At 40.2% G+C, this 23,711-nt stretch overlaps 1 protein-coding gene across 2 annotated transcripts in view; it reads right to left on the bottom strand.

The window, feature by feature from the left end:
• PAPSS2 (3'-phosphoadenosine 5'-phosphosulfate synthase 2) overlaps positions 1-23,711 on the bottom strand; it is an 87,828-nt gene that overhangs the window by 34,212 nt on the left and 29,905 nt on the right. For both annotated transcript variants that reach the window (NM_001015880.2, NM_004670.4), the window contains exons 2-3: positions 4,181-4,298; positions 184-419 (exon numbers count right to left, since the gene is read on the bottom strand). In NM_001015880.2, coding sequence (NP_001015880.1) covers positions 184-419; positions 4,181-4,298 — 354 coding nt within the window. The remainder of the gene's footprint in view (positions 1-183; positions 420-4,180; positions 4,299-23,711) is intronic.

Raw genomic sequence — 23,711 nt, 5'->3', positions numbered from 1 at the left:
ATATAACCAATATTAAATAGAGGAAATGAGAGAGCCTGTTATTGGGGGAAGAAATAGTCGGGAAATTGAAAGGAGACATTCTTATGCCCTCCCTCTCCGATTCCTTCCCCTAGCAGTTGGAGAGCACTTGCACTGTGTGTGGGAATCGTGTGTAGTGCCTTTTTTTTTTTTTTTTTTTTTTACCTTTGCGAATGGAGAAATAAAGCTGGTAATGCAGACCAGACCAGCATCAGCAAACAGCTTAGCCACCTCAGCAATCCGGCGGATATTTTCCTCTCTGTCCCCAGGAGAGAATCCGAGATTTCTGTTAAGGCCATGACGGACATTGTCCCCATCCAGGGAGTAACAAGGGATGGCATGGGAGACAAGGTACTCCTCCAGGGCAAAACTTATCGTTGTTTTTCCAGCACCAGAGAGACCTGTTCAGAACAGATAAAACAGACTGACATCGGCCTGGATAGTTTAAGATGACAAATTGTGAACTAATCTAGTAATTTTAAATATAACTAAATCTTAAAAAAAAAAAAAAGAAAGAAAGAAATCAGTGTAGTTGACTACAAGGCAAGTACTTACATTTCTCTCAAATTTTGAAATAACTATTTGTCCTGTGTTAGGATTATAGCTTTTCAAAGCAAGCAGGCTTCATAAATAGGGAGATTTGGGGGCTACATGTGGTCCTCGATGTGTTCTGTTTGGGCTGCAGAGTGTTTTAAAGATTAGAAAGTTGTCATACAGGCTGGGCATGGTGGTGGCTCATGCCTGTAATCCCAGCATTTTGGGAGGCCAAGGTGGGAGGATCACTTGAGCCCAGGAGTTCGAAACTAGCCTGGGGAACATAGTGAGGCCCTGCATCTACAAAAAACAAAAAAAATTAGCCGGGTGTGGTGGTGCACTCCTGTGGTCCCAGCTACTCAGGAGGCTGAGGTAGGAAGACCCCTTGAGCCTGGGAAGTCAAGGCTGCATGCAGTGAGCCGTGATGGCACCACTACACTCCAACCTGTGTAACAGAGCGAGGCCTTGTCTCCAAAGCAAAAAGGAAGTTGTGTATACAAATCCAGATTCTGTATTCTCTTGAAAAAATCAAAAGATGTGGTGACAGTGGTCTCATATCCCCTTCAAAGTCAGCAATCAGCTGGAATGGAGGGAAACAGCCAGCCCCTGGAGACTGGTAAGTCCACCTCCCTCGTGGATGCCACTGAACAACCGTCTTACAGAGCCCGCAGGCTGTCCTTTGGCTTCTAGATGTTTCCAAAATGACTCTCAAAACATAAAGACAGGAAGCCGGCCTGAGCTAGGGAGCAGATGTATTTAGAGCTGCCATATGTCACACTCTTAGGTGTAAAGATTCTCTAGAGTCTTTATATGAGAAAAGAGTTACCATGTGGCTTCCACCATGGTTTCAAAGCACAATGATCAGGAACACACTTTGTAATTTCCATATGAGGAGGAACATAAGAAGGGAAAGAAACACAACCTGCCAAAATTATTTAACAGTTTAAATCTGAACTACCCTAAAGGCTAGCACTCTAAAAAAAAAAATGGGTCCTTTAGGATTTTAGGATCTTTGTCTTAAAGATCTCTGAACCTAAGAATATTTCATGGTGCCAAGCCTCTGTCCGACAGCACCTTGGCATGACAGAGGAAAAAAGCCAAGAGGTTCATACAGAGAAGACAACAGGAGGAAAGAGGAAAAAGGGCAGAAAAAGCAGGAATGAAGGACAGACAGAGGAAGGAGGATTTGGGTGGGGGGGAAGGTGATCTGCAAAAGGTGAATAGTCTCCATACTTTTAGTTATATTTTAAAGTCATGCCTTTGGCTTTGACAGAGGACCATTAGAAGAAATGGCTGTATGAAGAACGTGTCAACACTAACTTCATCAAATCATTTTTGAAGGTATTGTCTGTAATTCTGTTATTCCTTTTCATTTAAATAAAGACATAGGTGATAAATTCTTCTTAGTATTTATGTCAGGTTGTGGGGTAGGGGAAGTGGCACTCCTGAATCTCTGGTGTGTTCTCTCATGTCAGAAAATGAGAGAAATAACAGAATGTCCTTCCATTTTGCTTCAGCTCTCAGGAAACAAAGAGCTAAATTACAGTAAGTATATGTAACCAGATTGTTGGCACACGTACTTTCATACATTGAGGTAACACTAATTACAATTACTGACAACTTAACTATGTGCCAGGCACTGTGCAAAGCACATTTGTCTTTTATTGATTTAGTTCTATCGACACCTCCATAAGTCAGGTACTATCTTTATTCCCATTGTACAAATAAGAAAACTGAGGCTTAGAGAGCCTAACTGGCTTGTCCAAAGTCACACAGCTCATGGAGGTGGAGTTGGGGCTAAAATCTGAGTCTATGGATTTAAAGTATTTTGTTTCTTCTGGTCTGCCTGGTCAACAGCCTACCTTTGTAACATAAGAATAAAAAATAAATTAGAAAAAGATGACTTTTTAATTTAATTTAATTTTTTATTTTTATTTTTTGAGATGGAGTCTCATTCTGTCACCCAGGCTGGAGTGCAGTGGCGGATCTCAGCTCCCTGCAACTTCTGCCTCCTATGTTCAAGTGATTCTCCTGCCTCAGCTTCCCGAGCAGCTGGGATTACAGGCGTGCACCACCACGCCTGGCTAATTTTTGTCTTCTTAGTAGAGAGACAGGGTTTCGCTGTGTTGGCCAGGCTGGTCTTGAACTCCTGATGTCAGGTGATCCACCTGTCTTGGCCTCCCAAAGTGCTGGGATTATAGGCAAGAGCTACCAAGCCCGGCCTTGATTTTTTAAAATTTGCCATATATTCTTTTCTTCCTCTAATGAAGAAATAATTCATTTTAAGAGTAAAGAAGGAGAAAGTATACCCTTTAGATATGTTTCTCTTCTACCAATTCTCTTTTTCTTTTCAAGGGGTGTCACATTAGAGAAAATGGACTTTGTGTGTATAGCCCAACACGAAAGTTGTTTTCACCAGTGATCTTCGCATGAAGGGAAACATATAACAGGAGGGGATCTTCTAGAATACAGCTGTACCTACTGCTCAAATTACGTCTCTTGGGGGGAGTTGAGGTAAACATTTCAGGAGTAATGACAGAAGGATGGTGCATATTAGAGCACAGCAGGTTCCTTGCTCACTGTCTGTCCTTGCACTGGAGGCTGCAGAAAGTTGTTTCGATGCACAGTCCAGGCATGAATGAAACCAGGAAACCAAAGGCACAAGGCAAAAACTTGAAGAGTACAAGAATGAGGCCAGTTGGGACAGAAAAGGGCAAAGATTTAGGACAGCAAGAAAAGATGCAAGGCAGGTCCCCACCTGCCAGATTGTTTAGAATGAGCTCCAGGTTAGAAAACATTATCATTTTATAACCTGAATAAACATAGTTTTGCAGGTGGGCTCATTCCATTTGAAAACTGTTGTCTATGAAATGAACTTGGTTTTTCCTTTTGAGTCCAGAAATAATTTTGTCTACCTTGGACTCAGAGTACAAGGTAACAGCCTAGGGCCAGCTATTGGGAGTCAGGTTCTAATTCCAGTTCTGTCACTAATTCTCAGTTTTGACATTCTGTGGCTATAAAAACACAAGAAAAGGGAGAGTCATTCAGTCACTTCAGCAGCAGCAAGTTATTTCTGTAAACAAGGGCAATCCTCAGCCAAATGGAAATTGCTAGTTTTCCTTCTTGTACAGATTCTTATGTTTGTTTGTTGTTTATATAGTAAGTGAAATAGTCTCCTAGAATGTCAAAACATTAGGCAACAATAACGAATATCTCTAAATATCCAAAACCTTATGGACAGCCAAATGCTTGATGTCAAATTAGGAAAGCCTCATTCATAACTGCCAGTAAATATGTTTAGGGATGAACATGAGAATTATTGAATCCCTTAGCACTGAAAGGGGATGTCATAATCATCTTGTCCCGTCCTTTCCTGCCAAAGAGGAGAAAAGTGACAACTAGAGACTTTCACAGTTGACTTGATCAGACTCTTATTTCTGTAGTTGACCTTGACTCTATTTCTCACTGATGGTAGGGTTAGGACTAACACCCAGGCTTTCTACTACATCTCCCAGCCTCCTTCTAATGATAAAACAAGCATGTAATACGTTACACTAATTTCCATAAAATTGTGTCACATGTCAGTTTGCAATTTGTATATATATATATATATATGAACATGACATACCTGTTAGCCACACGGTACATCCTCGGAACCCACCCCTTGTTCCAACCACTTGCCCTCTCTTATTCCTGCTCACATGGTGGGCCTGATAGACTACATTGGTGGATTTCTGCTGGTTCTCCTATAAAATAAGACAAAACCAAGCACAGTATTAATTAATAAAACACATATTCTTCACTGGAGCCAATATAAATCCATCTTAAACTTTTAATTGCGAAACTGATACATGTAACAACTTATATAAAAAATATTTTGAAAGAGACTCACCTTTGTCCATTCTAATATAGTTTTTTTCATTTCTGCAGATTACCCTGAGCCATTAGCTACATGTATATATATTTTTCTTAGCTGTGAGTCTACATACCTAAGTTATTCATTCTGCATTCACTTAATGTTATTCATAAGCAGTTTTGCTTCCATAAAATAATTATTTTTAAATTACAGCATCATATCTCATTGATTCATGCAACACAATCTGTTAAATAATACAATTATAATGCAATTGCATATTACATTAATAGTCTTCAACAACTGTATCTTCTATAATTGGCAAACAGAATAACATTTATTAATTCTATTAATTTAGAAACAAACACTGCCTTTAGAATACTCATCATGGTCCTTTGAGAGTATAATTCAAACTGGAAAATTTTTGATTTTATGTAATAGTTCTGGTTGCATGACCTTTTAACATTTGCACCTTAGAGGAATGTCATCGTTTCAGTGAATGCATGTTCTCCCCAAGTCCTATAGGCTTGAACTGAGAACCCAAATACTCCAGTAGCTGAGGAAATACTAGGGTGGGGGTGGTTGATCCCCAGTCCCTATAGAGCCAGAGAAAGGCCCAGATCGCAGTGAAAAGGGTTAAAGTCAGTAATATCCCCGTTGCTCCCATTCAGACATCAGAGACACGGCAAGAGTGAAGTCCCTGAACACACAGGGCTACTTCTTCACAAGAACTAAACTGTTTCCACTTTCTCAAGGGTTAATGTATGAACTTTTTAATCTTTCAAAAAGCCCAGCAGAAATGGAAATGTACTAGTTATTAGGTTTGGAAGCTAATTAAATATCAAATGTCTTTATTTTGGCTGTAATAAAATCAGCTTAGTGAGGTAAGAGACTATCTGATCCTGATTCTAAACTCTGACTGGGAGGTACAAGTCTGATGAATAAAAAAGGTAAAGTGAGCCAATAAATACAGTTTTTGGTGGACTTAAAAGAAAATAACATGTGATCCAAGGGGGAAAAAATCCATAATAATGGTTAAATTAAAAGGTTAGGAACTACTCATAGATGTCTGCGGTGTGTAATTGAATTTCTAATGACAGACAGAATCCAGGTTTCTGAACTGTAAAAATCTATGAGCCTTTTAAATATTACACTTGCATACCCACCAGAGCTAAGAAAGCACCAACTTTTTTTAGCAAGAGCTAGAGGATTTTTGAAAACTCTGCCAGGAGCAGTGGTTTGTAATCCCAGCACTTTGGGAGGTCAAGGCGGGAGGATTGCTTAAGCTCAGGAGTTTGAGATCAGCCTGGGCAACATAGTGAGACCTCATCTCTATGAAAAATAAAAACATATTAGCCAGGCATGGTGGCATATGCCTGTAGTCCCAGCTACTGGAGAGGCTGAGGTGGGAGGATCACTTGAACCCAGGAGGCCAAGGCTGCAGTGAGCCATGATTGCACCACTGTACTCCAGCCTGGGCAACAGAGCGAGACCCTGTCTCAAAAAAAAAAAAAAAAAAAAAAAGAAAAAAAAGAAATGAAAACTCACCTCTTTTTGCTTTGGGAAATAGAAACTTCGGGAAAATAGAAACTAAAGAGGGCTACAACTAGAACTGTTTGGCAGTTTACATAAGATGACAGATATGAACATGCAAATGGCAAAGTTCTCTATAAATGTGAATACAGATGATTCACTGTAGACACCCCCCAAACCAGATAGGCTGGAATCTGCTGGATTCGGGACCAGGAAAATGGCTTCAAGACTTAGGGGACCCTACCGGCCTTTCAGTGTCAAATTAGGAAAGCCCAATTAATAGCTGCTGATAAATTTCTTTAGGGATGAATATCAGAATTATTGAATTCCTTAGAGCTAGAAAGGGATGTCATAATCAACTTGTCCCATCCTTTCCTGCGTGGCCCTTTAGGGGTGTTAAGAAAGGCAGAGCACAGAGTGGGGATGGGCCTGCTAGTGAGACAGAGCCAGGCAGAGGGGCCAATGGTTAGGGAACAGGCATTATCAGTGTCAGAAGGGGCCAAGAGGAAGGTGGTTAAAGGCACAGTGGGATCAGCTGGGTGAAGTTACCTAAAACTCTCTAAAGCTAGACGTTCTGCTCATCCATTAAGCAAATCTGGTCGGAATCCAAGACTTGGAAGTGGCTGGGCATAGTCCCAGAATGCGGTAGATGAGACAGCAGTGATGGCTTACACTAGAGGGCTCATAAATGGGGACAAATTAGGCCACTCCATGAGATAGTCTAGCAGTATCTCCCCTGGGTGAACAAATCCCCTGAAGGTATTCTGTTTTGGGCTTTGTTGTTGTTGTTGTTGTTTGAGACAGGGACTTACTCTGTCACCCCGACTGCAGTTCAGTGGTTCAATCAGGCCTCACTGCAGCCTTGAACTCCCAGGATCCAGCTATCCTCCCACCCCAGCCCTAGAAGTAGCTGGGACTACAGGTGCACACCATCATACCTGGTTAATTTTTTTTTTTTTTTTGTACAGATAGGGTCTCACCTTGTTGCCCAGGCTGATCTCCAACTCCTGGGCCCAAGTGATACTCCCACCTCAGCCTTCCAAAGTACTAGGATTACAGGCAGAAGCCACCATGTCCAGTCCCCTGAAGGTATTCTGTGTCCTTGGTGCCAAGCATATGTGATACCTCAAGGATAGCATTTAAATGTCCTTTTTTTCAATTTCCTTGTTAATTAATGCCATTAAGTTCAAGAACATTGTGTCTGAATATCAGACCCAAAAATCAGTTTACTTGATTATTCATTGATTCTTTCAGCAAATGTTTATTGAGCTCCTACTCAGTGCCAGTGGCAATCTGAAGCACTGGAAATATAGTACCAAACAAAGAAGAATCCCTGGCATCATTCTGGGGAGAAAGACAGACAAAAAGATGAGGTAACTGGGGCTCCACTCTCTGAGGGAGAGGGTATATATATACACACACACACACACACACACACACACACACATATATATATATATATATATATATACCATGTGAAGAAACGTAAAGCACACTGGCAACTCAGTAATAAAAAGACAACCTGGCCAGACGCGGCGGCTCACACCTGTAATCCCAGCACTCTGGGAGGCCGAGGCGGGCAGATCATGAGGTCAGGAGTTCAAGAGTAGCCTGGCCAATATGGTGAAACCCCATCACTACTAAAAATACAAAAATTAGCTGGGCGTGGTGGCACTTGCCTGTAATCCCAGCTACTCGGGAGGCTGAGGCAGAAGAATCGCTTGAACCCGGGAGGCGGAGGTTGCAGTGACCCGAGATCATGCCACTACGCTCCAGCCTGGGCGACAGAGCGAGACTCCATCTCAAAAAAAAAAATAAGGAAAAAAGAAAGAAAACCCAATATTTTAAAATGGAAAAAGATTTGAACAGTCACTTTACAAAGGAAGACATACACAAGGCCAGTAAAGAACCATGAAGTGCTTAATGTCATTAGTCATCCAGAAGAATGCAAATTAAAACTAAAATGAGAGGTCACTGATAATATCTAATGGCAGCAAACATGTGCTCTCATATTTTGATGGTGGAGGTATGAAGTGGGGCAATCATCCTGGGAAAAAAAACCCTGACATTTACATTTACCTTCCCCATGACTCAGCAATTCCATTGATAGATATCTATTCAAGAGAAATAAAATGTGTCCACAAAAAGACTTGCACTAGAATGTTCTTAGCAACTTTATTTGACTCAAAACTGGAAACAGCCAAGTGTCCATCAATAGGAAAATAGAAAATAACCCAACTCAAAGTGTAGAATACTTATATAATGGTTATACTATTCAATAATCAAAAGGAATGGACTATTAATACACGGAATATGGATGATAATGAATGGAAAACATTAGGCTGAGTCAAAGAAGCCTTATCCAAAAAAACTACACATTATATATGATTCTATTTGTATGAAGTCCCAAAATACAGAAAACTAATGCACTAATTCAGAACAGCCGTTGCTTCTGGGGTGATGGCAATGCTTTATGTCTTGATAAGGGTTTGAGGCACTCACGTGTATACATTTATTAGAACTCACTGAATGTATTCTAAATGTGTATTTCGTTGTAAATTTTACCATGTACACGCACACAAACACAGAGCTGTTTTGAAAAGTAAGCAAACGAGGCTGTGTGTGGTGGTTCTCGCCTGTAATCCCAGCACTTTGAGAAGCTGAGGTGGGTGGATCACTTGAGGTCAGGAGTTTGAGATCAGCCTAGCTGATACGGTAAAACCCTGTCTCTACTAAAAATACAAAAATTAGCTGTGCAGGGTGGCGCATGCCTGTAATCCCAGCTACTTGAGAGGCTGAGGCAGGAGAATCACTTGAACCCAGGAAGCGGAGGTTGCAGTGAGCCAAGACTGTGTGACTGCACTCCATCCTGGGCAAAAGAGCGAGACTTTGTCTCAAAAACAAACAAACAAACAAAAAAAAGTAAGCAGATGAGAAAATATACAATAAGATTTTAGATGGAATTATATTGCTCAATGCTGCTGCATTTATGGAAAAAGACTCTGATCCCAATCCCAACATACTAGACTAAGGTGCTGCTGCCCACCTGTGCACATGAACATCCACTAAAATTTAATTTGTCTATAGAGACAGTTTTGTTTCCTCTAGTTTGACTGTTTCTTCTCCACACAGGCAGAGATCCACAGTAAACTCCAAGCTCTGTTAATCTTCTAGGGGAACTTTGTTACGATCTTGATCATTGTCTCCCCAGCAAGTTCTTCGTTTTTCGAAAACAGTTCAAAATTAATTAGAAGGAATGACTCTAACATAGTATTTAATCTCTGAACTTTTGGTCTTTGATAACTGCATTTAAATTTTCTATTACTCCAGCAATGTTTAAACAAATAAATAAATACTTTCGGATGGCCAGGTACTGGGCTCTTTTGGTTCAGTCAAATATTTTATTCCTATTTATTTCAAAATCACCCTTGAGGTTTTGCAAAAGGCAAACAAATAGAAGCAGATATTTTGAATTATACTTGAACTGCAAGGGGGCAGAGTGGCCAAAAACTTTTCTTTTTCTTGTTGAAAGCTGTACTCTCTGCCAAAGAGCCTATGATGTTCTAAGCTTTGGAAAGAAAGTGACTGTCAGAAAAAGGATTCTCTCTATAGAAAGCAAAACACATGTTAAAGGAAAAAATGTCTGTCTTGCTGTGTGTACATAGAGAACACACAGACATCCTCGGCATCCCATCTAACTCTGCCCCTTATCAGGAAGTGGTCCAGAAACCCCAAAGTTAGTGGCATACTTCTATACTGGGTCCCTAAGACAATTTTGCAAAAATCTCTACCTTCTTCCCACTACTGGCCCAGAAAAACTCTCTGTAGCATGCATCGGAGTAGCATGAGTATCGATTTTGGAGTCAAGCAGACCTGGATTTGAAACCTGCTTCACGGCTGATTTGCTCTGTGACCTGGAGCAAGTTATTAACATCTCTGAACCTCCTTATCTTTCTCTGTAAAATGGGGATAAGAATATTTTTTTCCTAGGATTGCTGAAAGGATTAAATAAGAATTATCTAGATAAAATAGCAAAGAAAATACCAGACTCATGGTAGGATGTTGGATCTGATCAGTCCAGGTGGCATTTAATCTAGTCTGGAGAAGTGATGGTAGTTTGAATTCTAAATCACCCAGGTTTAAAAGGGTTCTGGGGATCTGGGTCTACTCTAACCCAAGTCTGGGGAGGATGTGGCACTCATGATCGAATCAGACAATGGATAGGACTGCACCAGTTTTACACACACACACACACACACACACACACACACACACACACGCAATGTTGTTGTCATTATTGCTGCTCTGTATTAAAGCCCGGCTGGGACGTACCCTACACTAAGGTTCACCAATTTGCAGTGTCATTCTACTGCAAACTTACTGCCCTTGTCCTGGCTGTCACAGAGTCATGAACACTTCGTTACCTAGATGGAGGATGGCCTTTGCCCTGGGTTTGACCCATTAGAGTCCAGGCCTTGTCACAAAGCCCAGGGTGGCATGTGTGTCTCTGCCAGGCTCACCCCTCACTCCCATTGGTGGCACAGAAAGAGGACTGCCAAAGTGGCTCCTAGAACTCAGGTGAAGTGCCGAGGGTCGTGACAGGGAGCCTCAGCCTTGATTTTGCGTGACTACAAGAGAAGTAACCTGGGGAAAAGACTAGATGGTTTCATGGTGGGGCGGGGCATTTCCAGAGCCAAATCCAAGCATGTGTCCCAGGGAGGAGTGTCATGGAAGGGAGGAGGAGTCTTGGGGAATGAAAAAGCCCTAAACCAGGTGTCTGGTGGAGCTTACCAAAGCCCAAAGCTTTTGTTCTGAGATGTTCATAATGTCTCAATTAAAAAAAACAAGCACGTGCCCTTGAATCCCCTCTGTACCCTACTCCTTCCCAGGCAGTGCAAACAAATCCACTTTACTTCTCTCTTTACAACTCCACTCCGCCCTGTTTTAACTTGGCCCTCATTGCCACTGGTCTCTGCTTTCATTGCTCCCTTGCTGATTAAACGTGTTCCAAATCTTCCCGCTCCTCAGTGTGCAGTTTGAAGATTCATTTAAAGACCCATTTTCAGAAAGTTGCAACCCCAGTGATTGCCCTATCAGGCCCATGGTAGGAGCTCCACTTCCACGTGCATTATCTCATTTATTGCTCAAAACCTGGGAGCCATAGAGACTGAGCATTGTGATCCATTTACAGATCTGAAAACTACTGCTCAGAGATATTGGGAAGGGGGCTGAAGTCCCACAGCCAGAAGACACAGGATGTAGCCAGGTTTAAGTCTGGGTCTTATTTCTGCATAGACAGGACTCCTAGTTTCCAGTCCCAGTTATGTGAGCTCTTTGTCACAGCTTCCTCCCTGAGGATTGAAGGAGATAATATATAATAAGGCTTTTCATACTACACTATAATGTAAACAATTTAAAAATCATTCTCACTTCATCTTCATTACTTAACATGAGTAGCTTCAAATGTTTCACAATTATATATTTATTCCTTTCCGATTAGTTCTTTTGAATATACAACCCAAAGTGAAATTATTGAGTATCAAAACTTATAAACTATTTTGTAGGTCTCATTGTATACTGCCAGTTCATTTTCCAAGTGACAAAACCAAGTTACCAGGCTACCACGATATACCCACTTCTAAATATTCAATGACTTTTTTGTGTTTGTATTTTTACTGTTTTTTCCCCCAGGTTGATTTGTACTTATTTTGGTAAGAATATGCCTTTTTCTGTGTAATAAGTTACTTAGGCCATTCGTGTGTTTGCCTCTTTGATATTAATTAACTACAATCTGGACAATGATCTCATCCACTTTTTAAAACTATGTTTTGGGCTGGGTGCGGTGACTCATGCCTATAATCCCAGCACTTTAAGAGGTCAAGGTGAGAGAATCGCTTGAGTCCAGGAGATAGGAACCAGCCTGGGGAACGTAGTGAGATACTATCTCTAGAAAAAAATTTAAAAATTAGCTGGGTGTGGTGGCACGTGCCTATAGTCCCAGCTATGCAGGGAACTGAGGTGGGAGGAGATTGCTTGAGCCCAGGAGGTCAAGGGTGCAGTGAGCCCTTATCATACTACTGAACTCCAGTCTTGGCAATGGAGTGAGACCTTGTCTGAAAGAAAGAGAGAGAGAGAGAGAGAGAGAGAGAGAAAGAAAGAGAAAGAAAGAAAGAAAGAAAGAAAGAAAGAAAGAAAGAAAGAAAGAAAGAAAGAAAGAAAGAAAGAAAGGAAGGAAGGAAGGAAGGAAGGAAGGAAAAAAGAAAGAAAGAAAGAAAAAAGAGAAAGGAAGAAAGGAAGAAAGAAAGAAAAAAGAAAAAAGAAAGAAAATTATTATATAAATAAAAACATATTTTGGTGCTTCTTTTTTCTATGCTTTGTATCATAACATTTTTACTAATTATATAATAATATATACTTTTTGTTCACTTGCTCCCCTTTTGGTATGTACTTTATTATATATCACATTATATCTATTATATCATATTAAAGAGTATTTTATGAATATACAGAAATATTCCTGTTGTTGGTGTCTTCCATTTGATCATTAATCATACATACCTGGGCCAAAAATACTCTTCAAACTTCTAGCTACCTCGATACAATTAAACTGTACCAATTTTTAAAATATGAAATTATTATAATTTATTATGTGCTTACATGGATCGATTTTATTTCTTTTCCATCATTACATCCAGCAATCTCAAATATATTATAATTTATTTCCCTTCTACTTTGGATATCTTTTGGTAGTTTGAAACTATTTCTAGAATTCTTATGTAGTTATAATTAACTTTTCTACTTTTAGTGTAGACATCTATGGTTCTGATAGTTGTTTTTCTAACGTGTTTTAAAATTTCAAAAATATAAAATTCATTCTTTTTTCTTTTTTTTTTTTTTTGAGACAGGGTCTCACTCTGTCACCCAGGCTGCAGTGCAGTGGTGTGATCCTGGCTCACTGCCGCCTCCACGTCTCCGGCTCAAGCGATCCTCCCATCACAGCCTCCTCAGTAGCTGGGACTACAGGCACAAGCCACTGTGGCTGGCCAATTTTTGTATTCTTTTGTAATGTAGAGCAACTGCCACATTACCTGGGCTGGTCTAGAACTCCTAGACTCAAGTGATTCTCCTGCCTCAACATCCCAAAGTGCTGGGATTACAGGCATGAACCACTACACCCAGACAAAAAGCTCATTCTTTAAAAGAAAATTTTCCATTTTAGTTCATTCCACATTCTCTCATGGAATTGAAATTATGCAAGTTTTGTTGCGAACATAAAATGACTCACTATAATTTTCTCTGCCAGTTTCTCTGATTCTCAAATGATCTCAACATTATAATACAGAAAAATGAATCATTATCCAAGGATGTTCATAGCAATATTATCTAAAATAGTGAAATCAGAAACAATAAAAATGTCCATCAATTAACTAGATTATGGCACATCCATATGATTAATAGGTAAGAAAACAGCTTACAGAGTGAGTTAACATTAATCTCGTTAAAATATATGTATTTATATGTATAAGGCTATATAGAAAAAAGTCTGAAAATCATGGAAAAATGCTAATAGTGATAATAATCATCTTGAAGGTTAGGTCATTTTAGGTAACTATTTTCCTTCTCTTCTCTATATTCTAGTTTTCAATATTAAATTTGGAAATAAATATATATTTAAAATATAAAGAATTTCTCAACCAGAAAATGGAGAGGCCAAAATAGTTTGATTCTTTTTTTTTTTTTTTTAGTGGCATGATCTCGACTCACTGAAACCTCTGCGTCCCGGGTTCAAGTGATTCTCCCGCCTCAGCCTCCCGAGTATCTGGGATTACAGGCGCACACCACCACGCCCAGCTAATTTTTGTATTTTTAGTAGAGGTGGGGTTTCACCATGTTGGCCAGGATGGTCTCACTCTCTTGACCTCGTGATTGGCCCGCCTCAGCCTCCCAAAGTGCTAGGATTACAGGCGTGAGCCACCGCTCCCAGACAATGGTTTGATTCTTAAGGTTCAAAGGGATCACAGATGTGTGGACACAAGTGAGTCCTGTAAAACAAGTTACAACCAACAGAACAATAACCAAATCAAGTGAACAAATAAGAAAATACTATTAGCCAGGGATGGCAACTCATGCCTATAATCCCAGCAACTGGAGAGGCTGAGGTAAAAGGACCCCTCGAGCCCAGGAGGCTGCAGTGAGCCATGAATGCACCATTGCACTCCGGCCTGGGTAACAGAGGGAAACTTTGACTGCAAAAAAATATATATGTTAACCTTGACATCTTGAGAGCAAATATTTAAGGCAATGAATCCCTTTAAAATATATAATGAAATGCAGTGAGCTCTACACTGATAATCTTTAAAGTATAGTCCATTTCACTTGATCATGTGGTAATTTGTGTTGGCACTTAAATATCATTCGGAGAATAAATGTCCATGAAGGTATAACAGCTTTTGGAAATTGATATGACAAATGGCAACCTCTCAGAGAAAGCTGCCCTAACAATATTCATAAGTTATCTAAACAGCTGAACAGCAAGAAGGCTGTTTCATTCAACTTTGATGCAGTCACCACCCACTGGACATTTAAGGTTCAATTCCAATACTATGGTTATTGGTAGATAGGAAAGTCTTAACTGAATAAGTGTCACTAAATTAAAATTTCATAACATAGGGGTTTTATTGTTGTTTTTGATTATTTTTTAGAAACGAGGTCTTGCTATGTTGCCCAAGCTGGACTTGAACTCTTGGGCTCAAGCAATCGTCCTGCCTCAGCTTCCCCAGTAGCTATGACTACAGATGTGCACCTCCATGAGATAACATGTTTTAAAAGGGATTTAACACTAAGGAAAATATCGTTCGTAAGTATTTTGTGTAAAGAGAGATTGTGAATAAAGGGAGCCAACAATAGATCATGCTAAATCCAATCCCAGGAACACAGTTTCACAATATGCATTTACTTATCATGCAAACAATGCCTCTCGGAAGCCTCCAACACTATAGGATTATACTTTGTGTTAAACTACTCTTGAGTTATAAGGGAAATAACCATATCAGGTAGACAGTGACAAAATATCAGTTGTGAAAATTGAGAGAAATGATTTGAGAAACTCCTGAAAAGAGCAAATTAAATCATTTGTCAAAGTTACTGGGCAACACAAAAATTACCCAAATCTGAAATTTATGAATTAAAATTGTGATCAGACCAAAAAAAAAGCTATAGTAGAATTTCTTTAAAACCAAAAATTATCATTTTCTTCAATTCCTGCTACAGAAGGTTATGTTGCATAGGTTAATGCTGTGAACGAGAAAACACTTTAAGGGGAAAACATACATACAACCAAGTTGATTTGACTTTTCGAAGCCACTAGTAGGAAATAAACCACAGACTAATGTCAAAGAGATAAGAATTTGAATAGTATGAAAACATTGCAACAACGATGACAAAGAAAAAAACAGATGGAGGTCATACTTACGGCATCTTTTTAAAAAAATTCCGCATGACTTTTTACAGTATTTAATTTTTTCCCAAAACATCTGAAAAACATGCAAATTGTTGGAAAACCCTAGAGGGCAAATTCAGACAGTTTGCAAGCATCATTCAGATGTTTGCCAAGAAAAATAAAGAAGCCCCTCTCCTCATGGGACTGTGCATGCTGTTACAGGTCTTGTATACTTCTGGTCCTCTGTCTACCACATATGTTAGATGTCAATCCAGAGGTCTGTGCAGTGGTTACAAACAAGGCATTATCTGGAAGAGAAGAGACTGTGGAGTTTCCATTGGATGATAAACCACCCAGCCCTGGCTTTTTCAGATATCCTGCAGGAAGGAACAGGTTTATGACACAGGAGAGCTTTGGCTGCATCTTTCACTTGGAATCATAATCATATGTTCTGTGCTTTCCATCTTGGTTCTCCTCATATGCTCTGGAATCTGCCTTATTTTCCTTGGACTGCCGCCTCTTAGTGAAATTGCTTGAGGCAGCTCTTCCTCTGGCTCCAGTCTCCAGCTGGTACAATTCTATGTAATCAACCTTGGACACACCCTGACGACAGCTCCTCACTCCCAGAGCACAGGTGAGCCACCTCTCCTTGGCACCCTCCTTGGTGCCCTCCAGGTCAGGGGTCTGTGTCTGGCTGAGTTGGAACTTCACCCTTCCGCAGTGGGTACAATGCAGGATCGAGTGAACCCAGGTGCCAGGGTGGAAGCCCCGACCCCTCGTTGCCCCTTGCTCTGAGACAGTTGCTAGGAGTTGCCAATCGGCCAGGACGCACACTAGGGTGACTGGAGCCCTGAGCCTGCCTGATCTTCCTATTTGCCATAACCATGTTCGTTTTTTGCCTATTCTAATCACCAGAAAACACCACACAAACTCCAAGAAGGGCATTCTACAAAGTGTCTGACCTGTACTCCTCAAAACTGTCAAGGTCATCAAAACCAAGGAAAGGCTGAGAAATTGTCACTGCCAAGAGGAACCTAAGGAGACAAAACTAAATGTAACATGGGATAGGATCCTTGAACAGAAAAATGTTAGGTGAAAATTAAGGAAATCTAAAGAAAGTACGGACTTCAGTTAACGACAATGTATATTTGGTTCATTCATTGTACCACACTAATGTGAAAGTTACTAATAGAGTAAACTAGGTGTCAGGGTCCATGGGAACTCCTTGCACCATCTTCTCAACTTTTCTGTAAATCCAAAACTTCTAAAAAAATAAAAAGTCTAATTGTTTAAAAAAGTGCATTTTAGTAAGATTTAGCAACAAACAAAATCACGAAAACCTAAACATTTCATAATCACTTCAGTTTCTGCATTGCTGGATTCTTTATCCTTCGTGATCACATTTCTTAAAATAGCTAACTTTATTATTTTACTTTTAATTTAAGGGTTAAAATTGCTTGGAGTTATATGAGAAATCCTTTCATAAGCATATCATGAAATAAAGCAGAAAAAACAGAAAAATTAATGGACAAGACACTGGTAGAGCAGCTGGGTGTGCATACAACAAGTATAGGCATATCTATGATATTTATGGACAACATTTAAAAATATCACAAGTGAGATTCTGTTTTGAGAGAAAGCCAGTGAGACCTAGCAGTGTTCTCTTCTGAGTCCCTTTTGTCTCTCCAAAGTGGAGGTGAGATTAATTTTCATTCAGCCCTTTGTATGTCCTCAAGCCTCCTATTATAACATACATAGCCTTTAATTTTCCATATAGAGAGAGCCCAGGAAATAGAAAAGAGGAGAAAGAAGGAGGTTTGAAACTCCACAGAAGGGCAAATACTCAAAAGAGCTATGTTTTTTGAAACAGGACAATGGAACAGAAGCAATTAGACAGAGAATATTGCAGGGTAAAAGAGCAAATATTTTTGGACCAAATAATCCTGAAATTGCATCCTGCCCTCGAATGGACCCAAGATAGAGAATTTCATAGCTGAAGTTGGGAGTGTATATGCATGTGGAGCTATTCCCCAGGACCTCAGGAGAGGGGTTTCCACACCCATAGATGCTCACAGATCTTCACATCTGGACCCAAAAGCCATCACGTGAAGCCAGATTTGGATGGAGATAGCAGGTGGAAAGACAGTGAGGCCAGGGGAAGTTTAGATTTCATGGCTATCCTGGGTGTAGCAATACTCCTGACCTGTGAGACTGATATTTTTAAAAAGCATCTCCTTATGGAAAAGGGCTCTTTGTGATAAAACTTTTCCAAAGCCCAAATAACTAGTTTCCAAATTTACCCTTGGAACATGGCTTGCTTTTAAAATGACGACGAGGGCTTATAGGACCTACTGCTCTCCTTCCTCTCTAATTATGTATCATTGATCTAATTATGTATCCGCACATCCTGTTGAGTCTTTCTTCATGATCTCTATCACATAAGAACTTTCTTGCAATTTCCACTGTCAGCATTCTGACTTAGACCCTTCATGTCTTGGTTCCTGTGACTTCCACTTCAACCTTCAGGCTTATCCCACAGTAGGCAGTAAGCTGGCTGCCAAATGATGTTCAGCCTTGGTCCTGACCCGGGTGCCTCAGTTTGTGTCACATTCTGTAGCAGAACTTGTTGCGGGTCCTCCCCTTGCCTTTTGCCCCCTAACCTGCTCATTTTTTATGTACAGGCTGCTATGGTCTAATTATTTTTTGTTCCCTTTGCCCTTTATATTCGCTTGTGAAAAACATAATGCCTAATGTGATAGGATTGGGTTGGGCCTTTGGCAGGTAATTAGATCATGAGGGAGGAGCCCTGATGAATGGAATTAGTGCTCTTATGAAGAGGCCCCACAGAGCCACCTGGCCGTTTTTCCTCCATGTGAGCTTATAGCAAGAAGGCAGCCCTCACCAGACACTGAATCTGTAAGTTCCTTGCTCTTGGACTTCTCAGCCTCCAGACCTGCAAGAAATAACTTTGTTTTTTATAAGCCACCAGGGTATGGTATTTTGTGATAGCAGCCTGCATGGACTAAGACATCGTTGCATTTCACTCCTTAGACCCTCCTGATGCTATGAACTGATTCTCCAGCCCTGGCCTTTGCCTCTCTTTGTGACTATGCTTTCCTTCTAGCTACCCTGCCCTCCATTGCTGTGCGTAAATATCCCCCTTGGCCTGGCCTAACTTTTTGGACCTGTTCCTGAACACAGTCCCCCATGAACCCTACTCCTTCTGAGTTTCCTCAAGGTTGTAAAGCAGCCATCACATCATTTCCCTGCCTGGCCCAGAGCCCCTTTACTGATTTCCAGCTCTATCACCTCTTTTTCCAGTTGACAATCAGGTTAATTTTCTAAAACACCCTTAAATCATGTTACTTTTATATCCAAAACTTGTAATCACTTCCTATAAACCACAGAACAAAGTCCTAATCCTTAGCTTGGAACTTAAGGCCCTCCGCTAAGCCGGTTCCATTTACCTTTCAGCCATATTTTCTACTCTCAGATAACAGAACTTTTGTTCTCAGCAGCAGGTCTGTTTATGATTTCCTGGACACAGCTTGGTCATTCTGGTTTTGCACCTTTTCTCATTCAGCTCTTCCCACTGGAATCATCTCTCCATGCCCTCAACTATCCACATACCACCTGTTCTCCAAGCAGCACAAACCCCATGGGTGCTGGCTGCCTTCCTTGATGCTTCTTTCCTAAACTCCTGTAGCTATGAGATCCTGTGGCACTTTGCCTGGGTGGTGTAGACTTATGCCTTATGTTTTCTAGATTTATAGACTTAAGTCTGATGTTTTAGATGTCATTGTCAACCCCACACAGAAGGGGCCATAGCTTATACAGCTTTGATTTCCTGATAAGATCCAGCTAAGAGGAAGTAATATAGATTTTAATGTTGGACAGTTTGGAAGCAGTTCAAATTCTGCCTCCACTAGAACCTTGAGCAAGCTAAGCCTGACCTCTCTACATCTCATAAAATTGTGGGATTATAGTTCCTGCTAATGTTTGCAAGGATGAAAAGAGATGATGTGGAATACTTGGACTTATAGTAGGTATTCATTACATATTTGTTGAATGAGTAACAGAAGTTTAATAAACGTTTCGTTGATTTGTTAACTGATGTGAATATCCTTAAACAAACTCCTCTAGTGTCAGTACTCAGTAAAATGACATGTTCCAAACTTTAGTTACAGTCACTTTTATGTTCTGTGTTAAAGATTTCTTCAAGTGAGACCTGCTGTGACCTGTCTTCTTCTAGGCCCCACCACAGAAAAAGCCAAAGCAGTCCAAACGTTTAAAAGAACGAACTACCATTCACAAATGCATTTGTAAAATATCCTTTGAAATCAGCATCAAATAATTATGTGCTGTTGTAATTATAGTTCTGGTGAGCTCTCCATATTCTATGAGAATTGATTAAGCTAATGTGAACCAATGCATTTCAGTTAGTGCTGAAATCCAAGTTATCAACTAAATCTAAATAAACGACCGAACTGGACACTTATTTAATACAGTGCTTTTGTATGTCAAACGCGCCACATGCTCTGAGCACATTCTCAAGTAGGTTATTCCACTGCTTCTTCCTCCACAAATATGAACAATCCAAAGATAGCTAATTAAAATATGTGTTATTATGAACTGAAAGAGTCCTTCGGTTGGAAATGACCTGAAATCACCATTCTGAAAAGTCTACACAAAAAGCTGGCATATGCAAAGGTTGTTCACTCTCTGCTGGGGAACAATTAAATTCAAAATTCATTCAGCTGCTACTCTGTCTAAACACCATGCACTGGAAAGGCAGATTCCTAAGGCTAAGAAAGACCAATAAACTCATCATGCTCTCAGGTAAACAGAATCACAGGACTTCAGTGTGGCCATGCCAGCCTGGCTCAAGGCCTCATTTTATGTGTGATATTCTGATGATTCCATTAAAAGAACTCAGGAAACTTGATCAGAAGGCACAGTCTCCCACCCAGTCATCAAAAGTGGACCCAGGGAAGGATTCTGCCCTTTTAAGGGAGAGCAAAGCAAAGGGCATTTTTGGAAGAGTCAGATTAACGCCTTTCTAGAGACTTACTGTCATTATTAGTAGTAGAGGACTCAATTCACTGTAATATGACTTCCATGCTCACCATTATATTCAAACAGATTAAATGAATTACCACGTGTAAGGTGTTTAAAACAGTGCCTAATCAACATTGGGGGTTGTTATGATGATTATTGGCAAGATCTTCAGTGTTTATCCTCTTTCCCCTGCACACTCAGTGATCTGCTCAGCCACAGCTACAGACTCAACCTCGCGGGCTACCCTCCCTATAAAATGGCTTATTGCACTAGGTTGACCCAAGTGAAATCAACACACAGGATGAACCCATTAGATTCTCTTAGGAATTTAAGCTGTATAAAATCAGACAACCTGTCAGTTATATGGTTGACCATTTAACTGGAGATTCATGTAGAATCTGGACTGGATTTGGCAAACCAAGGCATTAGAAGCAGAAACAACAAGCAGCCAATAATCTCTAAAACAGCATCTCTCTTCCATTTCTTCCCATTGACCACTCTTTTTCTGGAAAACTCTCTCTTCAGCTTCCAAGATAATGTTCTCTCTCAGAGCTTTTCTGTCTTCTCATCGCTCTTCCATAGACTCCTTGCCATATTCCTCTCTTCCTCCATCTCTCTTTAGGGTCAGGGATCCATAGCTCTGCCTTCAGCACTCTTCTACTCTTCCTCCCTACACCCCTCAGTGATTTGTACCTGCTTCCAAGGCTTTGTCTACCATCCATATGCTGCGGGCTCCCAAATCTCTATCTTCAGATATCCAAATGCCTAGTAGGTATGATTCCCCCCAGAGCCACTGAAACTCAGCAGGATCAAGATGGAATTCATCTTCCTATCATCACCCTTTGCTCCTTTTCCCATATTCCTCACCACTAGCGATGACCCACACTTCTCCCCATTTTGTAAGCTAGGAGCCATCCTATTGCTTGTCTCCTTCATTAAAAAAATTAATCTATCAAGTCTTGCAAATTTCAGCTAAACGCCATTCCATCACTGTTAGTTAGCTAATTGCTCCCAGAAGTCTTCCTGACAGCCTTTGAACTGGACTCCCTCTCTTCCATGAAGCCATTCTCTTCTTTGCCAGTAGAGTAAAATTCCCTTTAATTTTATTTTTTTTAGAGACAGGGTCTTGCTTACTCTGTCACACAGGCTGCAGTGCAGTGGCATGTTCATGGCTCACTGAACTCAAGTGATCTTCCCACCTCAGCCTTCCAAGTAGCTGTGACTACAGGTGTGCACCGACCATACCTGGCTAATTTTTAAAATTCTCCTTGCTTGGAAAGTCCTTTCTCCTTGGGTGCTTACTCACTCATTAAGGTGTGGCCTAAACATTGCTGTGAGGCTTTGGCTAATCTTCCCACCTACAGACAGACTGAGCAACTTCCTCCTCTGACCCCACAGTATCCTGTTTCTACTGATATCTCATTTCCCAAACTTACCTAATTTAAGACTCTCATGGGCACTTGTTAAAAATACACATTCCCAGGACCATCCCCAGGAAATTCTCATTCAAGTGGTCGGCGGTAGGGCCCAAGAAACTAGGGTTTTTATGTTGTTGCCTTTTTTTTTTTTTAAGTGTCTCAAGTGATTTTAATGCTTAGGCAAATCTAGGTAACACTAACCAATATAAGAGAACGTAGGTTAAATATGGATTTTTGCTGACATGTCGGCCTTCTTCACCAGATGGGAACACCAGAGAGGCTGCTTTGCTCACGTTTATCTTTGAATCTGTATGCCTGGAATACTATGGGGGTTCAAAATTTACTGAATGAATGTTTCTTAAACTAATTTGTCATGCCCATGATACTTCATAAACTTGGTTTGTTATTCAAATGTTTGTTATGGTCAAAGGTAGCGAGCCAGATGCTGAGATAGTCTTGGAAGAGGATAGGTGCCAAAGTGGTGGATAGGTCATAAGAATGGGAAATATTTAAAAATAATCTTGGCTGAGTCACAGATTTGGGGGCAGCCATACTTGGTAGTACTGTAAGATGAGCTCTACAGAATTAATAAAATTCACTGTGTAGAAAGATAGAAACTCTTGCCCCTCACCCCACCTCCCTCAGTTGGATGTATGTTCCCTTGAACAAGCAGAATGGTACAAAAGTTAAGAGCATGAACACAGGGTCATGATGGGTTGTGCATACTGATTCCACCAGTGGCCAACTGCTGTATGCCCTTAAGTAAATTACTTAACCTCTCTGTTCCTTCACTTATAAAATGATTGTAATAACAGCTGCAGCCTTACTGAACTGTTATGAGGATTAAATGAGGAAATGTACATAAAAGCACAGGGTCTGGCTCTTAGTTAAGCTCTCAATAAATGTTAGAAAAAGAAAAATAGTTGTTTTTAATGATAATTAAAATGGGTCTTTTCATCTCATCTCTTACCACTCCACCTTCACATTCTGCACACCTATCAATCTAACCCCTGAAATTCCCCCAGATATCCCTGTTCTCTCTGGCTTCTGGACCTAGCTCATGCTATATTCTTCTTAATTATTTAATTATTGCATAAGTCACATCCACATGGCTCAAAAACTGAAAAGATATATACACAAGCAGGTATGCAGAAGCCATGCTGCCACTTCTGCCTCCGCCCCCATCTCTCTAGCCTCCCTCCTCCTCACTTCTAAAAGTAGATGGTCATTTCTATTCGTTCCTTACATGCTCTGTCAGTTTTTTATGCATAAATTTTAAAATAGGCATTTATTTGCTTAATCCTCCTTTCCACACTATTACACACCTTTTTCAGATCTGTCTTGGCAAATCTTTCCACATCAGTACAGAGGGTTTTCTCATTCATTTTACCCTTGCATAATGTTCCGGTGTATGAATATATATTTAACTAGCTCTTTTTTGATGAATACTTGGATGATTTCCAGTCTTTTATTATTACAAACATTGCAATAATTAATAACCTTATACTTAATTTTTTGCATGTGAAAATATATCTGTGGGATTAATTGCTAGACGTGGATTACTAGGTCAATCAGTATGAACATCTGTCATATCAATAGATATAACTAAATTGTCCATTATAGAATATTACACCAATCTATACTCCTACCAGCGATGGATGGGAGTTTCAGTTCCCAACAGCATTGCCACAGAGTATATCAAGACTTTTGGATTTCTACCAATCTGATGAATGAACAATGGTATTTCAATGTGATTTTAGTTTAAATTTCTATTATAAGCTATATTGTACACCTTACACCTTTTATTATGTCTACGACTGTTTGTATTTTTTCCTTTTTCTTTTTTGGACTCTCATTC

Source organism: Homo sapiens, chromosome 10 (assembly GCF_000001405.40).
Source record: "Homo sapiens chromosome 10, GRCh38.p14 Primary Assembly".
Lineage (NCBI taxonomy): Eukaryota > Metazoa > Chordata > Mammalia > Primates > Hominidae > Homo > Homo sapiens.
This window is presented reverse-complemented; position numbering and strand designations above follow the sequence as displayed.